Consider the following 18,790-nt stretch of genomic DNA (forward strand, 5'->3'; position numbering starts at 1 on the left):
CTAAAAATAAATTTGACTTAGTTATACTTAACAAATTGCCCTTTGGAAGATAATAGAATTACTTGAAATGAGATTGTTCTGGAAAGTCTAGAAGCTGCGGTCATTGTAGACAAAGGTTAATTATTTATTGAAGAGGTATGGGTAATTGGAAATGAGGATATTTGGGAGCTGGTGTTTTGGTTTTACTGTGCCAATGTCATCTAGTTTCATGGATTTAAATACACTTTCAGTGCTGTTGACACTAAATTCCTAATTCCAGCTCATGCCTGACCCTGAACTCTAGACTTTATATATGGGATTGCCTTCAGGTCCTCAGCTTTCATTGTGTAAAGGGCATCTTAAACTCCATATGCCTAATATTGTATACCTATTTTCCCCTCTCCTCAATCTAAGCCCTTCTTCCTCAGCTTAAGAAATGGCAACTCCATCCTTCCAATTACCCAGCCAAAAACCTTGAGGGGCCATCCTTGACGCCTGTAATTCTCAGGTGCCCCATATCTTATCCATCAGCAACATCTGCTCTTTCTGCCTTCAAAATATATCTCAGATCACATCCTTTCCATACCTTTGCTGACCTCACTTGGGTCCAAGTCACTATTATCTCACACCTGGATTATTTCAACAGCCTCTGAATTGCTTCCACCTGTCCTGGCTTCTCAGCTCCTGTCTCTGCTCACAGATCTCTCAGGTGAGATTATCCCTTACCATAATTTACAAGACCAACAAAGTCAGGCCTTCTGCTGTGACCTCTCTGACCCTATCACTTGCCACTCTTCTCCCTGTTCATTCCTCTCTAGCTATCCTGACCCACTTGACACCCCTTAAATGCACTTACCATGCTCCTGCCTCAGTCTTTACCCTTGCCATCCCATTTTTTTAGAATGCCCTTTTCCCAGATATCCACATGGCTCAAGTCTTCGCTCAGATGTTATGTTCTCAGTAAGGCCTTTTCTGGCAATCCTATCTAAAAGTTCACCCTCTTATTTTATGCTTCATATGCGCCTTTCCTGCCTTTTTTTTTTTTTACTCTTTACTCTTACCTCTATCTGATACGCTATTTAGTTTTCTTATTTATCTTTGTTGTTTATTTCTAATACCAGAACACCAGACGCTCTATAAATGTAGAGCTTTTTGTTCACCGCTTTATCTCAGCACCCAAAACAGTGCCTGGCACTTTGTTGAATGAATGAATAAATTGTTGAATGAATGAATAAATTTCTTGGCACATTGTTGAATGAATGAATGAATGAATGAACACAAAACAAGTGTGTATTTCTATAGTACCTACTATGGTCTAGCACTGTTGGTAGATATGGGGTTTGGTAACACAAAAGTTGTGTATGTGTAGTTCCTGCCTCTGAGGAGCATGGCATCTCGATAGAAACCAGTTGAATGAATTTCTTAAACAATCCTTCTGTACAGTTGAAAGAAGTGAGGAGGAGGAGGAAGGAGAAAAGGATATTTTATTTTATAAAAATCTATGAGATCCCTGAAGATGTTCTTATGAGAGAATGCTATATTATTTCCACATAGCAATTTGCATCAAGCTGAAGAATCTCCGTCAAGTCTGAATTTCCCAAAAGTAGGAATTTTCTACCCTCTGAGTGCCCAGGGCCCATTCCAGGTGCCATGGTGAGGGAAGAAGAAAAAGGCCCACTTGTCCTCCATTTGCAGAGTTTAAATGAAGTTCAAATTCTCATCAGGGCTTTAGATACAAAACCCTTTGTAGTTGGCAGCAACAAGAAACGAAATTTCAAATTCCGGCGCCTGAACTCATAGAGCTATTGAAGCATGTTCAGACAAAGCTTCCAGGGGTTTCACTTAGGCTAAAATAACTCCAGAGCAGGCCTGCAATATTTTACATAAATAAAAGCTACACTTGGCAAAACATTATATTTCTCTCCAAGTTCCTCTGGGTATATATGGGCTTGTTAGTAATTACAATCTATTATAATGCTAATCAGCATGGTTGCACCTGTTTGAGATTTAGTTTTCTGTCAGAAACCATGTGAAGTGGCCAAAAGTCTGTACTGTGCTGGGAGAACCAGGAGGACAGGAACATACAATTCATCGTAACTCACTGACATCTAAACAAAATTGAAACTCCAGAGGAAATATAACTGAAATCTGTAATACTGTGCTGGGGAAGAGGAGGAAAAACAGAAGCCTATCATGAAACCCAGATGCTGAAATGAGGATCTCCTCTCTCCTCATCCCTGACCTCTACCCCACCTTGAAGTCTCAAAGAGGTAGTTTTATGTTAGTGAAAAGTCACCTGTATTTGCCAGCAAGGAGTAGACTCACTGAGCTCCTGACCCCAAGAGATAGATAAGACTAAAAATGTAATCAAGCTTAAGAAGAGTTTTTTAAAATTTGAGATGGAGTCTTGCTCTGTTGCCCAGGCTGGAGTGCAGTGGCATGATATCGGATCACTGCAACCTCTGCCTCCCGGGTTCAAGCGATTCTCCTGTCTCAGCCTCCCAAGTAGCTGGGATTACAAGCATGAGCCACCACACCCGACTAATTTCTGTATTTTTAGTAGAAACAGGGTTTCACCATGTTGGCCAGGGTGGTCTTAAACTCCTGACCTTAAGTGATCCACCCGCCTCAGCCTCCCAAAATTCTGGGATTATATAAGAGAAGTGAGCCACTGCGCCTGGCTTCAAGAAGAGTTTTTTTTGTTTTGTTTTGTTTTTTGTTTTTTGTTTTTTTTTTTTTTTTTAGAAGGAGTCTCGCTCTGTCGCCCAGGCTGGAGTGCAATGGTGCCATCTTTACTCACTGCAAGCTCCGCCTCCCGGGTTCACACCATTCTTCTGCCTCAGCCTCCCGAGTAGCTGGGACTACAGGTGCCCGCCACCACGCCCAGCTAATTTTTTTTTTTTTTTTTGTATTTTTAGTAAGGAAGGGGTTTCACCATGTTAGCCATGATGGTCTCAATCTCCTCACCTCATGATCCACCCGCCTTGGCCTCCCAAAGTGCTGGAATTACAGGCGTGAGCTACTGTCCCCAGCCTAGAAGAGTTTTAAAAAATCATGATGAGTGAATCTAGAACTAATTATTGAGGAGAAAAATAGTCTTTGATTTTGCTTATGTCCTTTTTGAATAGATTTGTTTTTTCAGACTATGGCATCTTTTGTTGCCAGTCTTCTTTCCCCAGGCAGATATAAGCATCTCGTGAACAGGAAGTGTCCCCCTCTACCCCCCTTTAGCTCTCTGGGATCTGTCTTGTAGAAGCTCAAATAGTCAGTATTCTTTAATCAGACTGACTGAGTCTGTGCTCTTAGAAGTTCATCATTTGGTACAGTGCTGAAAAAGAAAGAATTCACAAAAGATTCAAAGCAGTGGACAGAGTAGTATATTCATTCATTGTTCTGGCCGTCCTTTCATTCACTGAGCAAATATTTATTGAATATGCCAGGTGCTATGCCCACTATGTCAAGAACTGGTCGTTGCTCTCAGAGAGCATACACTCTACTAGGAGACACGACATTAATCAAAGAATAACATAAATATATGATCTGTAAAATTACAACCGAGAAGCACAGCTTACTACAATCCTTTCAGAGCCTGGGGAAACCTAGATCTCACTTCTTCAGGACTGGATTGGCTAATTTTTTTTCTCTCTCTATGAAATGTATTGAATAGGGGAGTCAGGTGACTCCTATTAATTTCCCAGCTGTGAAATCAGGAGTTAGGATAGTCTAGATGCTCTGTAAAGGCACCTGTTAACAATGATCCTGACTCAGCTCCTGGACCCTACATTCTGGGCCTTGGCTACGGTTAACCTTCGCACCTGATAATAGTTTGTCTTTATTATTCTCCATGAAGTTTAGCCTTGTCTCCCCTGCAAAAGGGCCAGCTCCTGCTTTTTTTTTTCCCTCTTTGCCTTTCTTCTTTGTTGTGATCGAAATCACAAAGCTATTTTTGATAGCTTGCTTCTTTACCTACCTTTGTTCAAGGCCCACAAAAAATAAATTTAATTCTTAAATGGAGCCCTCTCTCTGTATCATTAAGCCACTCAAAGAGTACTCTGAAAACAAGCAAGCAAGCAAGCAAGCAAGCAAGCAGAATTCCTAGAATGTAAGGTGTATGAACCTATCTCCCTGCCTTCTGCACTGATGATTATCTCAACCAGTTTAGGTAGCTGAGAGAATCATCAATCAGCCATTAAAGATGGAGCATATAATTGACCAGCGTTTGCCAGATTGACTTTCAAGGAGTGGGAGCCTTATTTATTTTCAGGTCTCTGTGATCAAAGAGGTTGGGAAATGTTACAGAGTCAAATGCACATTAGTGTATTAAAGACTCAAGATGGTCTATCGCAAAGCGAGTTGTACACGTCTGTTTAACCAGATATGTCCCCAAAATATTTCATCATAGAATGCTTTTATTTGGGAAACATTAAGAACTCATGTTTTGTGGACATATTTTGAAAAACATTATAATTAGAAAAAAGAAATGGATATTCTCAAGTGGGCCATTCGGAAAATCAAGATTAACACCCTTTTATAAAACAGTGAATTTGAAGAACTGTGGGAATTCAAAGGAGAGGGGAATTAATGTGGGTTCTGCTAGTTGGCAGAGGCTTCTTGGTAATATTTTGAGCCAGGCCTTGAGGAAAATGGGATCTAAATAGACAGGGAAAGGAGCCCCTCTAAACTGGAAGAAGAATATAGAAAATGTTGGACAGCTCACGCCTGTAATCCCAGCACTTTGGGAGGCCGAGGCAGGCGGATCACAAGGTCAAGAGATCGAGACCATCCTGGCTAACACAGTGAAACCCCATCTCTACTAAAAATACAAAAAATTAGCCAGGCGTGGTGGCAGGCACCTGTAGTTCCAGCTACTTGGGAGGCTGAGGCAGGAGAATGGCATGAACCCAGGAGGCGGAAGTTGCAGTGAGCCGATGTTACGCCACTGCGCTCTAGCCTGGGTGACAGAGCGAGACTCCGTCTCAAAAAAAAAAAAGAAAATGTTGGACAGGCAGTTTTTAGCATTTTGTGTTATGAGGGCAGTCAGGAGACCAGTTAAGATTAAAGTAGGAATGCACTCCAGAAAAATTGCCCGATTAAAAAAACAAAAACCAAAACAAACTATCCAAAGAACGGGAACAGTAGCTAGAATGGATGTTCATTCATTAATCTATCCATTCATCTAGCCAACCAGCCATTCAACAAACATATATTGAGTACTTTCTATGTTCTAGGAACTTTGCTTGGAGCAAAGTGTTGAACAAAATCACTAGTGATATATTGAAGTTTTAATTATCCAGGAAATCTATGCTGACAATCTCACATGCTGCATTTCCAATTAATTTTCTTTTGTTTGTTTATTGATAGGTCTGATAGGGATGGAGAATAACTTTGTAGCATCCTTCATGTCATTGGATAGTGGTTTGTCCAAGTTCACAGATCTAAAACTAGTAGAATGGGCTTTGGAGTTAGTCCTCGGTTTGAAATCTAGTTTTATCAGTTTTGGCTGCATATTGGACAAATAATTTAGCCTATATGTACCAGTCTCCTCATCCATAAAATGGGAATAATAGCTACCTTATAGCAAGTTTGCGATCAATGGTTAACTACTTATTATTGGTAATTATCTGTGATTAATGTTTATTATTAGATGCAGGTAAAATTGTGCTTCTGTTTGGGGATTTTATTAGTAATAACCAACTGAAGGGTTGCCAGTAAAACCTTTCCAGTCCTTATGTCCCTCCCTCTTGGAAATGAATGAGCAACAGGAGTTGGGTTTGCTATATTCCAAGTGTACAGAACTACAATTTCACACTTGGTTCTTTTTAAACAGCTCCTAGGGTGGGAGGTGAGGGGAACATGGATTACCTTCCCTTGGACTGGCTTCTGTCTTAGTCACTGGGGACATCTGTCTCATTGCTCCCTTTTGTGTATTTGAAAAGCTGAGACATTGTTGCATTTTGACCTGAACATCCTCTGCATTAGCTTGTGGGCCTAGTGTGGTAACTGAGGCTTAAGGCTTTTTTTCACATCCCATTTTGTGTGGTCCAGGTGTATATCCCATTTCTCTGGGCCAAAGCATCTGACTTCATTTTCCTACCATGTGAGTCTTATATATGCCCAACCTCTAATGCAGTGCACACTGATTGTTCAGTTGTCCTGGGCCAAATTTGGGCAGTGCACAAAGGTGCTGCCTTTAGAGAGCAAAGCTTTGCTTTCCACCACGATGTTGGAATTGCTAAAGAGTAACAAGAGTTGAAGCATAGCCAGCCTTCTGAAAAGATTACTGTACTCTCAGTGAGGAAATATGCATTTACTTGTAATTGTTAAGAGCCTTGATCTTTAAGCTCGGATTTCATTTTACATAATTTACATTTAAGTAACAAAAATATATGTGGCAAGTAGAAGAGGATCACTTCTCAGAAATTGCTTTTTCTTCTTCTTTGCAACCATAGAAATCCTTTTCTTCCTTTAAAACATTCAGAATTCACCCAAGAGCAGGAGGTCTTGTTCTTCTGCTTTGTAGCTTTGTGACTTTGAGAAAATTCACTTAACCTCCTCAAACTTCTGTTTGCTAATTTAAAAAAAGGGTTAATAACAGTCATCTTTTGCAGTTTGTTGAGTTGCTGTGAGGATTAAATAAGATAGATGTAGGTGAAATGTTTGGGCATTTAAGTAAGCATCAACTCTCTGCCCCAGTTGATGAGCAACTGTGAGCTTCTGCAGAGTCACCACGTCTTGAAGTAGAAAAAAAAGTTTCTCTTTGGTACCCATGCTCCTTTGTCTTCTTTGCTTCTTCATGACACCATCCTATTTCTCTTGCAGGTGCACTGAGCCCAGAGTTGCCAGAGGAAATACAGGATGCTCAGTTAAATTTGAATTGCAGGTAAACAATGAATACTTTTTTTTCTATAGATATGTCCTAGGTATTGCATGGGACATTCTTATACTACAAAAGTATTTGTTGTTCATATGCAATTCAAATTTAGCTTGGCCTTCGATTTTTCTTTGCTAAAGCTGGCAACCTAGGCTTCTGCTTCCCACTACCCCAATAATGAAACATGCCCAGGAATGGATCTGCTTGTCCTCTTGTCCCTGTGAGGGCAGAGGAGGGAAACGTAGCCTCTTGTTAAAATAATTCCAGCCTTGGTGTAAGTAGGTAACATATTTTTGATGAGGGACCCCTTTCTAGGGCTTCTAGAGTCATGGAGAAGGCCTCCTACCTTAACGTTTGAAGTTTATTCCCTGCCATTAGCCTGCTACAGGACCGCTTCCTTCTCCTCCCCTGATGGTGAATATCAGGGCTCTGTTCATAGAAGGTGCACAATTCCTGGCCATGACTACCTAGCTGGTTTTAAAAAATATTTCCTTCGTTTTAGAAAAGAATATCCCATTTAAGCTCCAGGTGCCTGAGTACTAATTCATGGAGACAGCTATAGGAGGGGTTTTTATATCTTTATTAGTCTGGTTCCCTGGAATCCAGGGGATTTGTGTATGAGTTGTGTGGGGATCATGGCACTAAATACCCTTCCGGTTGCTCAGAACCCACCATTGTCTCCTGCCAGCCCCAGTTGCCTACATAGTGAAGTCTGCTCATCCCTCCAGACATCCAGGGCCCTGTGTGGTTTGCACCTCCCCGGCTTCCATTTTCTGCCAGGTGGATCTCTTATCCTCTGGGGTAGGAACCTTCTGCTTGAGGGCTTGTTTCTAACTTTCATACCCAAACTCTTTCTATCCCTTCTTTGTGCTCTGCTCTCCCATATCCCCATCCCTGGGATACTCTAACCAGCCATCCAAATCCCCTTCTCTTTGGGCGATCATTCCCAGAATTCTCCAGGCTACAGCTCTTTTGGCTCTTGGAATTGCGGTAACATTTACTGTTTGTGCCCTCCGTTTAAAATTACTGATGCCCAGTGTTGATGCTTTCTCTCTTTTCTTTAGCAGACACAGAAGAGGTCTGTTCCTGAGGGTAAAACTCCTGCCTTTTTGTGCTAATGCTTGGCATATTGCCCCACACATAACAGATGCTTGATTGGTTAAATTTAAAAACAAATTTATTTAAGTGGGGGTCTTCCTCTGTCACCCAGGCTAGAATGCAGTGGTGTGATCATAACTCACTGCAACCTTGAACTCATGGGGTCAAGGGATCCTCTTGCCTCAGCCTCCCAAGTAGCTGGGATTATAGGCACACACTACCATGCCTAGCTAATTTTTAAAAGTTTTTTGTAGAGGCTGGGTACAGTGGCTCATGCCTGTAATCCCAGCACTTTGGGAGGCCGGGGCGGGCGAATCACCTGAGGTCAGGAGTTCGAGACCAGCCTGGCCAACATGGTGAAACCCCATCTCTACTAAAAATACAAAAAGTAGCCGGATGTGGTGGCACACACCTGTAATCCCAGCTACTTGGGAGGCTGAGGCACGAGAATAGCTTGAACCCTGGAGGGGGAGGTTGCGGTGAGCCGAGATCACACCACTGCACTCCAGCCTGGGTAACAGGTTGAGACTCTGTCTCAAAAAAAAATTTTTTTTTATCGAGATGGAGTCTCACTGTGTTCCCCAGGCTGATCTCAAACTCCTGGCATCAAGTGATCCTCTCACTTCGGCCTCCCAAAGTGCTGGGATTATAGGCGTGAGCCACCATGCCCAGCCTGGTTAAGTAAAATTTTAACATGAATTTATAATATTGATCTAAATAATAGACTTCCTTTGGGTATTTGCACTAGGGTATTCTCCTTTCTTCCATAACTGAAGAGAGTGTAGTATTGTAAAAAAAATTGCATGCACGCACACACCTGTATGAACTTTAAAAAAGGAAAAGGCCAACACATGAGGAGGATTTTTATCTTTTACTTCAGCATTATTGTTAAAAATTAGTTATGTTTATTTTTTAGAGCAGTTTTAGGTTTATAAAAAAATAGGGCAGAAAGTACTGAGTTCCCATATACCCCCTCACCTCCACACCTAGTTTTCCTTGTTATTATATATGTTTTAACTTCAAAAAAAAAAAAGTGAAAAAGGATGCAGCACAACCACCAGATATGGAACCAAGTGGCACTGTGGTTAAGTGGAAGGGCTTTATATGACAGGGAGATGGATTCTAATCCTGGTCCCACCACTGAACCAGTCGTGTGACCTTTTGACAAGTTGTGTAACCTCTCTGAGGTTTCTTCATCTGTAAAACTAAGTCAGTACTATCTATCTAATTGTGTTTGAAATAAATAATATAATGCATAGAAAGTGCATAGAAAAGTTCTTGTCACGGCTGGGCACGGTGGCTTATGTCTGGAATCCCAGCACTTTGAGAGGCCGAGGCGGTTGTATCACTTGAGGTCAGGAGTTCGAGACCAGCCTGGCCAACATGGAGAAACCCCGTCTGTACTAAAAATACAAAAATTAGCCGGGGATGGTGGTGAGCGCCTGTACTCTCAGCTACTCAGGAGGCTGAGGCAGGAGAATCGCTTGAACCTGGGAGGTGGAAGCTGCAGTGACTGAGATGGCGCCAATGCACTCCAGCCTGGGTGAGAAAAGTGCTTGTCATGTGATAGAACACACAAAAATGTTTGCTATTGCTATTATAATACTATTGTAAAATATAAATTGTGGATGATGTGGTTTGGGACTGAAGATATTGTCGAAGAATCCATTTGGTTTATAATTCTTTATGTCCGACAGTTACTTGGGGCTAGGGGTTGCTTGTCATCTCAGTGGTGTGTCCTAGACGGATGGTCTTTCTCCTTATAATGAGTTACATAGGAAATGGCTGTGGTTTGCCAAATGTCTATTTGCTGCCCACTGTCAAGCATTTATAGGCTAGCATATATTCATAAAGTACTACATTCACAGTTTGCTAGTTCACTTTTCACCCTCTCGGTGCTAATGAGCTGTGTGACCTTGATGAAGCTGAAACCTCTCTGAGCTCCAGCTTCCTCAGCTGTAAAATGGGAATAGTCACATTGGCCCTGCTTATCTCACGGAGTTGTGAGACTCATTTAATATGCATCCGAAAAGAAAAACATGTCACACACATGTAAGTAATAGTGATGAACCACTTTGGGATTCAGGGAGGGGGACGGCCCTTTCGTATACAGTTTACAAATGGAGAAACCGAGGATAAAGGGTGCCTCTTGGTAGGGACTAGAATGGGACTCAGACCTTATTTCCCCAAGTCCCTGATCACACTAAGCAACATTTGGGTTTCTTAGCCAAATAGTCTGCCTCATTCTTTCACATTGTTGGGACTGAAGATTTAAAATTAATCTGTGGGTTTTGTTTCTAGGAAACTTGTGTCTTAGAAGCCCACCCCCTCACACAAGAGAACGTGTCTCTTTCTCATTGCTTCCTTATCCCTACTTGGCTCTTTAAAAATTTTTCTTTATCACTGCTTATCATATGACTGTGCACAGACAACCGTAAAGCCAACTATTTTAAGGGGAAAAGGGGAGGAAGACAGATAAGACAGTGATTCAGAAACAAGCAGGAAAATGGAGTCATGTGGCTGTCCCCTTGTGGGTGGGATTTACAGCAGTGTTTTAGACTAAGAAAGCCTCCTTTTCGCCTGGAGAATGAATTAGGCCCATCAGGAATGTGTTTTAGAACCCGGAGGGAGCACTCCTTCACAAGTCTCTCATGTGGCCAGCCTCAGTGCTGGGCTGTGTTCTCTTACCGCGCAGCGTGGCTGAAGCCTCTGCTCTGTGCCTGGGACTGGACTGAGCTTGATACAGTGGGGGCTCCAATAGAGAGGTCCTGGTGCTTGTCCCCAAGGTATAAAAAAGGGAGAAATGGCTACTTGAAAAGACTGATCTGATCACATCAGTTTCAGGGAGGGCAGGAAGAAACTAGGCCTTGTCCTACTCTGTTCGTAGAAATATAAATTAGCGGCACCTTTTTGGAAAGCAAAAAGGTAGTATCTGTGAAAATTAAAATGTATATCGGCCGGGCATGGTGGCTCATGCCTGTAATTCCAGAACTTGGGGAGGCCAAGGTGGGCGTATCACTTGATGTCAGGAGTTCAAGACCAGCCTGGCCAACATGGCGAAACCCCGTCTCTACTAAAAATACAAAAATTAGCCAGGCATGGAGGCAGGTGCCAGTAATCCCAGCTATTTTGGGGGCTGAGGCACGAGAATCACTTGAACCCAGGAGGCAGAGGTTGCAGTGAGCTGAGATTGCACCACTGCACTCCAGCCTGGGCAACAGAGTGAGACTCAGTCTCAAAATAAAATAAAATAAAATTTATATAATCAAGACGATCAAGTCTGTTATTAGTTATCAGTCATACATAGATGTGTGACGCACTAATATTATTTAAGTAATTTGCCTCTGCTAGCTGAAGAGGTGGCTCTATGGACACCCCCACCCAGTAAGTCGGCCGCGTGCCTTCTCTAATGGGATTTGAATTTTAGGAAAGTGAGGCATCATCTGACTCTTTCCAAATTTAAATCTGTTAAGAACCTTTAGGGTTTAATATGCTTTTTGTATAGGCTCCATTTTTCTTTCTGAAGGAGAAAGACGTGAGAAAAAGAGAATAAAGGCATATCCTGTCTAGGCTATTGGTTTTCAAACTCTGGGTCAGGACCCTCAATGAAGTTGATGAAATCAATTGCGTGGATCTCTACAACAATTTTAAATATGAAAATTGAACAATATACACATTATCAGAATGCTTTGTATGCAATATGAATAAATATTGCCTTATAAAACTCCTATTTCAGTTTTATTTATGTGAGTACGTATGATCTTAATTCTTACTGTGAGTCCCAGTTTAAAAAAACATTGAGAAATATTGCCCCAGAACACAGTTTCTCATTCAATCTAATTTTAATGAGTACCAGTAACATGGAGAAAAGAAAGTAAAGAGGATAGGGTTCCCTGCACTCAATAAACTTACATTTTACTAACCCAAACAATTCCATAAAAGCAAATATGTTATCATTCCCCAGGGAAAGACTGACGAAGGATTTGTAGAGGAGGTGGCTTTTGACCTAGGCCTTGAAGGATGGATCGGATAGACTGGTTCTGAGAAACCTGCCTGACTACTCCTTAGTAAACAAGTCTCTGACGACAAATAATGCTGCAGTGCCCTGATGAACAGAAATACCTTCTGTGGCCTGAAAGCCCCCATCTCTTGAAACCCCTGCAAGTGGCATTCAACATCAGATAGTGGTGCTTCAGGGTTCCTGGGTTGAATTGTTGGAAATTCAAGGTCAGAGAGCTTAGTTCATGCCCTGTAATACAAGGCGGGTTTCCTCAGCTCTAGCCATACTTCAACTGGCACTGGAGAGTTTTGTACCTTCTGATCAGGAATGCAGCATCTTTGGAAGATAAGGTGTTTGCGGCCTTACCCCTCAGGAGACTGCACAATGGGGATACATTTATTCAACAATTTGTACTGTTTTCTTTTGATTCTCCCATCAAACTTGTATGGTAGTGAATATATTCAAAGCGGGAATTAAGATATTCCTCTTAATTTGACATTTCAGGACAAGACCCAGGGAAGTTAAATGATGAATTGGGGGCCAAGGCAGATGAATGAGCACCTGGATGTCTTGCTTTTTAGGACAAAGGTTTTTTACTGCACATGCACGGGTATATAGTCTCCCAAACACACTAGGTACAGGAGGCCTAGGGCCTGGCCTAGAAGGTATTGATATCAGTACCATTACACATTTAATACCATTATCCATTTATGCATTTAAGCTCTATTTAAAAAGGCAATCAAATGAATCAAAATTTCTTCTTTTGTTCTTTCCTTCCTACCTTATTCTTTGCCTTCCATTCCCCTCTGCCTCCCCCCACCAGCCTTCTCTCACTTTCTTTCTCTTAGAGAAGATTAGGTAGGGGAAAGGTTCGTAGACCATTTTACCTCCAATTGAAAAAATGTAAATCTGCTATATAATAAGAGATATTCATTAAATCTTCATTTCTACATAAAAATATAAGAGTTCAGAAGTTTAGTGACTTGATCAAAGTAAAAAAAAAATCCAGTAGAGGACAGGTATGGTGGTTCACACCTGTAATCCAAGCACTTTGCGAGGCCGAGGCAGGGGGATTGCTTGAGGTCAAGACCAGCCTGGCCAACATGGCAAGACACTGTCTCTACAAAAACATTTTACAAATTATCTAGGCATGACGGCATGCACCTGTGGCCCCGGCTACTTGGGAGGCTGAGGCAGGAGGATCACTTGAGCCTAAAAGGTCAAAGGTACAATGAGCCATGATTATGCCACTGTACTCTAGCTTGGGTGGCAGAGTGAGACCCCCTGTCTCAAAAAAAAAAAAAAAAAAAAGAGGAAAGGAAAAAATCCAGTAGAGACAGAAAAAGTATGAGTAAACAGGTTTCCTGATTCCTAGTAAGGTACTTACATTGCTATATCATGCTGCATCCAGTCACCATTCATCCATCATGCTTCCATCATTCATCCATCTCTACATCCATCCATCTGTCTATGCATCCATCCATCCATCCATCCATCCATCCATCCACCCACCCATCCATTCATCCATCTCTATATCCATCCATCCATCCACCCATCAATTCGTCCATCCATCTCTTCATTCATCCATTCATTCATCCATCTCTACATCCATCCATCCATCCATCTATGTATCCATCCATCCATCTATTCATCTATCTCTCCATCCATCCATCCAGCCAGCCAGCCAGCCAGCTGGACAGCCAGGCAGCCAGACAGCCTGTCAGTTTATTGGTCATATAGTTGATGCTAATGCCATGTGTCTAAAATTTTTAGTAAGGGAGTCTGATTTATTATTATCATTATTATTTTCAATTTGCTTTTCAGCTATTGACTGAGGTTGCGGCAATTGACCAGACTACCCTGTGGGCTGATAAAACCTGAAACTTGTCTATTTGGTTGAGATTACCATTTGTCTGTCCCTCAGTGGCTGGTCTTTACATGTCAAGAGGATGGTAAAAACTGCCATAAGGGACTGAACACAGTGCCTCACGCCTGTAATCCCAGCACTGTGAGAGGCTGAGGTGGGAGGATAGCTTGAGCCAGGAGTTTGAGACCAGCCTGGGCAACGTAGTAAGAGCCAGTCTCTAAAAAAATTTTTAAAAATTAGCTGGGTGTGGTGGCATGCATTTGTAGTCTCAGCTGCTCCAGGAGGCTGAGGCAGGAAGACTGCATGAGCCCAGGAGTTTGAGGCTGTGGTGAGCTATGATGGCACCACTCTACTCCAGCCTGGGCAGCAGAGCAACAGAGCAAGTCCCTGTCTCTAATAAAAACAAACAAACAAACCAAAAACCACAGTGAGAGATTTTTTTTTAAAGACTCCTCCACTCCTTTTTTTGGGTTACATTGTTTTTGTTCCCCCTACTTTCTGAACTCTCTGGAGTGTCAGGATACTTTGACTTTTGTGATTCAATCAGCCTACTGCAATGGTAGATTCTTCCTTTCAAGTTGTAACTCTTCCCTTGGAGCAGGGTTTCCCAAAATGTGTTCCAAACAATATAAGAAGTGAATAGGTCATTCACACTCAAAAACGAATGCCATAATCAAGTGAATTTGGAAAACCATAGAGTAAATGAAGCTAAACATTTATTGCAGGACTTTTTTTTACAGCCTTCGATAGGCTATTTTCCATCAGTTTTCTGGATGGCAATTGAGCGAGCAGTGTTTCCAACTGTATTTGATTGTTCAACACACATTTAGGGACAGTACTTACATCTCTTGATGTCATTTGGGAAACACTGTCTTAGAATCTGGACCCTACTATTTAAAGTTAATACGACATATTTAGGGCTGCTGGCCAAGAGAAACTAACATGGTGAGGAGGAAATAATCATTATCCATTTATGTTAATATTTTTATCATAAAGACTAAAACTTTGTTTTTTAAACTAGGATCCCAAGTGTTGTTTATAGACACTTGACTACAGAAGAGAGAAAAGCTTAGGTTGAACAAGTGTTTGTAGAGTATATGAAAATAGAAGTGCAAACAAGGCCCCTATTAGCCAGATTTTCTGAATAATATTCTAGGAGTTCATCCTTGTTCTGTCTTTAGTGAGTGACATTTATAAAGCAGTAGCAAAGCCAATATCATGGTTCCAGGGATCGTTCCTATGGAATTACATTGGCTGAGGACAGAGACCCACTCTTCCTCCTCTTTCCTGAATCAGGTCAGGGTGAATATTATCCAAGTGCAATTGAACTCTTGCTCCTTCTGTTCACAAATCAATTGTTGCTTGATTGGACCCAGAATGTTTGCTGCTCATCAACTCTCTTTTGAAGGTGTATCTCAATATTTCATTTCCTTGTGTTTATTGGAAAATATTTTTTAAAAGCTACTTGCAAAGATGTAAGCGTGATCATTGGGGTTGACTTGCGGCGAAAATGTGAAGGAGTCAAAGACTGATTTCAGGTTTTGTGCACGCTCCTTCCACTTCTGAGCCCCTCCAAGCCTGGGGCCCAGCCAGGATTCCTCACTTCCTCTTGGCTGAGTATAAACTCATTTACACTGAGGTAGATGGCCGTAATGAGATATATAAGACTGGTGCTTTAGAAGAGTGCTGTGGAGGAGGCCTTCCTTTATCTGGAGGGTGACATGGCAATGTCTGGAATTTTCAGATATCAGTGACAGGAAAAGATGGACTTTTGGGTCAAGAGGACTCTGTCAAACCAGGTACTAACTGGAGACCAGGCTATTTCTGAGATCATACTCTGTGTCAAGGGCTAGGGATCTTTACATGAGCCTTCAATTGTAAGTCAGGGCCCAACTCACTGTGGTCAGTGCATATATTTCTAGATTACCTCACTTTGGAAATGCTTGTCTCCCCACTCTGTGAGGGATTAGTGCTTCTCCACTTTAAAGGAAAAACAGGTCATAAATTACTGAGGAATTTTATGGCACAGCCCAAAGCACAGATTGGAGGCCAAGGAAAAATAAAACTCCAGCTTCTTTATGAAAGTCAAATGGAAAAGAGAAGATGCTTCCTGAAAAGAGGTGGGCACTGCTTGAGGGAGAGGAGGGAAAGGACTCTGAGTGAGTCTACAGGAACTCCTTTTGGTGTCCTTGAGGAGTTTATGAGAATTCTCGGCCTCATCTTGATAAACTTGAAGGCAAAGTGAAGCAGGCAGTTGAACTGTTTGTCTGGGAAATGGATGAGAGACATGATTATTTTTGGTAGCAAGATTTTCTGTGTTTGGATTATGCATGTTATAAATCCAGTATCTTAATTTCCATTTGCCTTGGGTGATCCATATGCCTAATTTTAATTCAATGCTGATTAAATGTCAGAGAAGGAAAGGAAGGGATGAGGTGAGAGTTTCCAAGCCTGGCTGACCAGGAAGACAGCAGGCAGATCTTGGAGACTGGACCTCATCAATTATAAAGAGAAAAATCCCCTGTAAGTTACAAAACAAAATAGCACAAGAAAACACTCTGTAGATGTACATTAAGCCGTCTCCTTTCCAGAAAACGTTTCCCCAGACCAGGAAGACCCAGCGTGCCCCTTAGCACCTTAGCCCAGGCCTTCAGCTCTTCTCAGCTCACCTTTTTCTCCAGTGAATAAACATGATGCTGTTTTTAAGTCTTTGCTTCCTTGTTTCTAGCCCATGTTTTACTCCAGAGCAGTGAGGGCACTTGTGACCAGCTTTGGGGAGATGAATACACTGTCATTTATACATAAATGCACTGTCATTTATCATTTCAGAATTGGAGTGAATTCTAAATGAATCATAACAGTTGCATTTAATGAATTATTCTCCTGGGTATTGGCTAATTTTAAACCGGTCTGACGAGTTTTAAGGTCCATGTGGTTTGAGGAAATTCAGTGGTGCATTTCCCGGTTTGGTCCTCCTCATTTCCCTCCAGCCCTGCTCCTTTTCAACATGCCAGGCTGCTTGGCTGGGTTATCTTTAATCACTGTAGGTGGGAGGAGGGGAGGCGGGGAGGTACTGGGCCCAAGGTCATGCCAGAAGAGTTCAGGCCTCTGCTTGTCATCTGGCACTGCTCAGAATTCCCAGGGGTCTCCGGGGAGCTGGCCCTCAGCTCACAGATGGGCCTGACTTTGGTGAGAGGTGGCCTTCCACCAGGAAGCCTCCAGCTGGCAGGATAGGTGGGTGGGGAGGGGTGAACTTTGGCTGTGGAAGCGTCTCAGCATTTTACTCCCCTTTTTCAATAGTTGCTGCCTCCACTCCACGCTTTTATTCAAGCAGCACCGGTACCTGGCAGTAGCTCCTACAATGTTTTCTACATTGGCTCTAAAATCATGGCCTAGTAGACACCAATGCTTGACTTGTTTTTTTGTTTGTTTGTTTTGAGAAGTTGTTTACCATTGGCGTGACGGGATTTTCTTGGCCTTGTGAAGTACAGGGAGCCTCAGGATAGCTTCACTGGGGGTGTCATTACATGGTCATTATCAGTGGTAAGTTTCCCAGTCTCAAGATGGAACCCTCTGTTGCTTCTCTGCCGCGTGTTTGGCTCTGTTGACCTTCCATTGCTCACCTGTGCTTGTTCCCCCAGCAGCCTGTTTCTTGTAACTATTTGCCTCATAATGCAAGTATTCTAGTGATTGAAGTGTTGCTGTGCAAAAGAGATCTTTTAAACTGAAACCAGTGCAACAAAACAATTTAAAACATTTTAATAATTTCTTAAAGGATACAGAGCCTTTTCCTCTCTTAATACATGCAGGTCAGAATGACGTCAATAAGGATTATATTTTTGCATTAACAGGAAAACTAAGTTTATAAGACTAGAGTATGGATAGAGAGGAAGATGGTTCTATTGGGATATAAACTCTGATCCATACATGGAAGTAGCCCAGTCCGTACAAACACCATTGCCTGTTTCATTCTTGACTGGACATACATATTGCCCCATTGTGATGAAAGGTTGTGATAATGAAGAGAGTAATAGAAGGCTCAGCTCAGGTTCTAAGGAGGGAGCGAGTAAAGGCCATGCAGGCCCATCCTTCTGTGGTCAGTCACTGCTGGTTGGGGAAGGAAGGAGGTATCAAGTGTCTCCATTCTTTCCTCTTTTCTTCATAGTTTCTAGATCATTCATTTAATAAATCATTAGGGAGCCCCTGCCATCAAGCTAGGTCTTGGGATATAACCAGGAACATGCCTAGATAGGTACCCTAATCTCAGAGGGCTCATGCTCCAATTGGGGGACAGATACTCAAACAGGCAATTATGACATAGTTCATAAAGCCCTGTGATGTATGCCACCAGAGTACCCAAAAGGGCCCCAAACTAGACATGGGGAGTTGGGGAAGGCTTTTGGGAGAAGGCGACATTTCAGCAGAGACCTGAAAGGAGAAACTGGAGACAGTTTAATGTGACTACTGCGAAGTACTGTGGGGGGTGGGAGTAGGTTGGGGGCATGGGGACAAGTAAGCTGTTTTTTGTCAGCTGCCATTGATCTTCCTCCCTCTCCTCCTCCCTCCCTGCTTCCTTCCTTCTTTCCGATTTAACCCTGGAATCACGAGAGGCCACTTTAGGTGGATAGCAACTCTTGAATTTGGGCTTTATTCTGAGGGTTATGGAGGAGCCAGTGAAGGTTTTTTTTTTGTTTTTTTTTTTGTTGTTGTTGTTTTTTTTTTTTTTTGAGACGGAGTCTCGCTCTGTCGCCCAGGCCGGACTGCGGACTGCAGTGGCGCAATCTCAGCTCACTGCAAGCTCCGCTTCCCGGGTTCCCGCCATTCTCCTGCCTCAGCCTCCCGAGTAGCTGGGACTACAGGCGCCCGCCACCGCGCCCGGCTAATTTTTTGTATTTTTAGTAGAGACGGGGTTTCACCTTGTTAGCCAGGATGGTCTCGATCTCCTGACCTCATGATCCACCCGCCTCGGCCTCCC

At 42.4% G+C, this 18,790-nt stretch overlaps 1 protein-coding gene and 1 long non-coding RNA gene across 17 annotated transcripts in view, besides 1 other annotated feature; one reads left to right on the forward strand and one right to left on the reverse strand.

Annotated features, from left to right (window-relative positions):
• PRKCE (protein kinase C epsilon) overlaps positions 1 to 18,790 on the forward strand; it is a 536,712-nt gene that overhangs the window by 7,547 nt on the left and 510,375 nt on the right. For 3 of the 16 annotated variants that reach the window (XM_047445095.1, XM_011532975.4, XM_047445098.1), the window contains exon 1: positions 18,200 to 18,272. The exons of 8 other annotated variants lie outside the window; for them this stretch is intronic. The gene's annotated coding sequence lies outside the window, so the exon portion shown is untranslated. Of the gene's footprint in view, positions 1 to 16,897; positions 17,943 to 18,199; positions 18,287 to 18,314; positions 18,436 to 18,790 lie in introns of those variants that run through there. 5 more of the 16 variants (XM_047445094.1, XM_011532971.4, XM_017004490.3 and 2 more) reach the window with 4 other exon arrangements.
• Positions 13,942 to 14,153: a silencer, noted in NCBI's record as "fragment chr2:45899906-45900117 (GRCh37/hg19 assembly coordinates)". NCBI's record gives its function as "represses an EF-1alpha promoter that drives an FKBP-Casp9 reporter gene in an ReSE screen in phorbol 12-myristate 13-acetate-treated (for megakaryocytic differentiation) K562 erythroleukemia cells {active_cell/tissue: K562(+PMA)}" and the evidence as "EXISTENCE:reporter gene assay evidence [ECO:0000049][PMID:32094911]".
• PRKCE-AS1 (PRKCE antisense RNA 1) lies at positions 14,515 to 16,695 on the reverse strand. Its single transcript, XR_940049.3, has 2 exons — positions 16,485 to 16,695; positions 14,515 to 16,082 (listed from the first exon to the last, which is right to left on the reverse strand). It is a non-coding gene; the product is annotated as a PRKCE antisense RNA 1 (long non-coding RNA).

This window comes from Homo sapiens, chromosome 2 (genome assembly GCF_000001405.40).
Source record: "Homo sapiens chromosome 2, GRCh38.p14 Primary Assembly".
Taxonomy (NCBI): domain Eukaryota; kingdom Metazoa; phylum Chordata; class Mammalia; order Primates; family Hominidae; genus Homo; species Homo sapiens.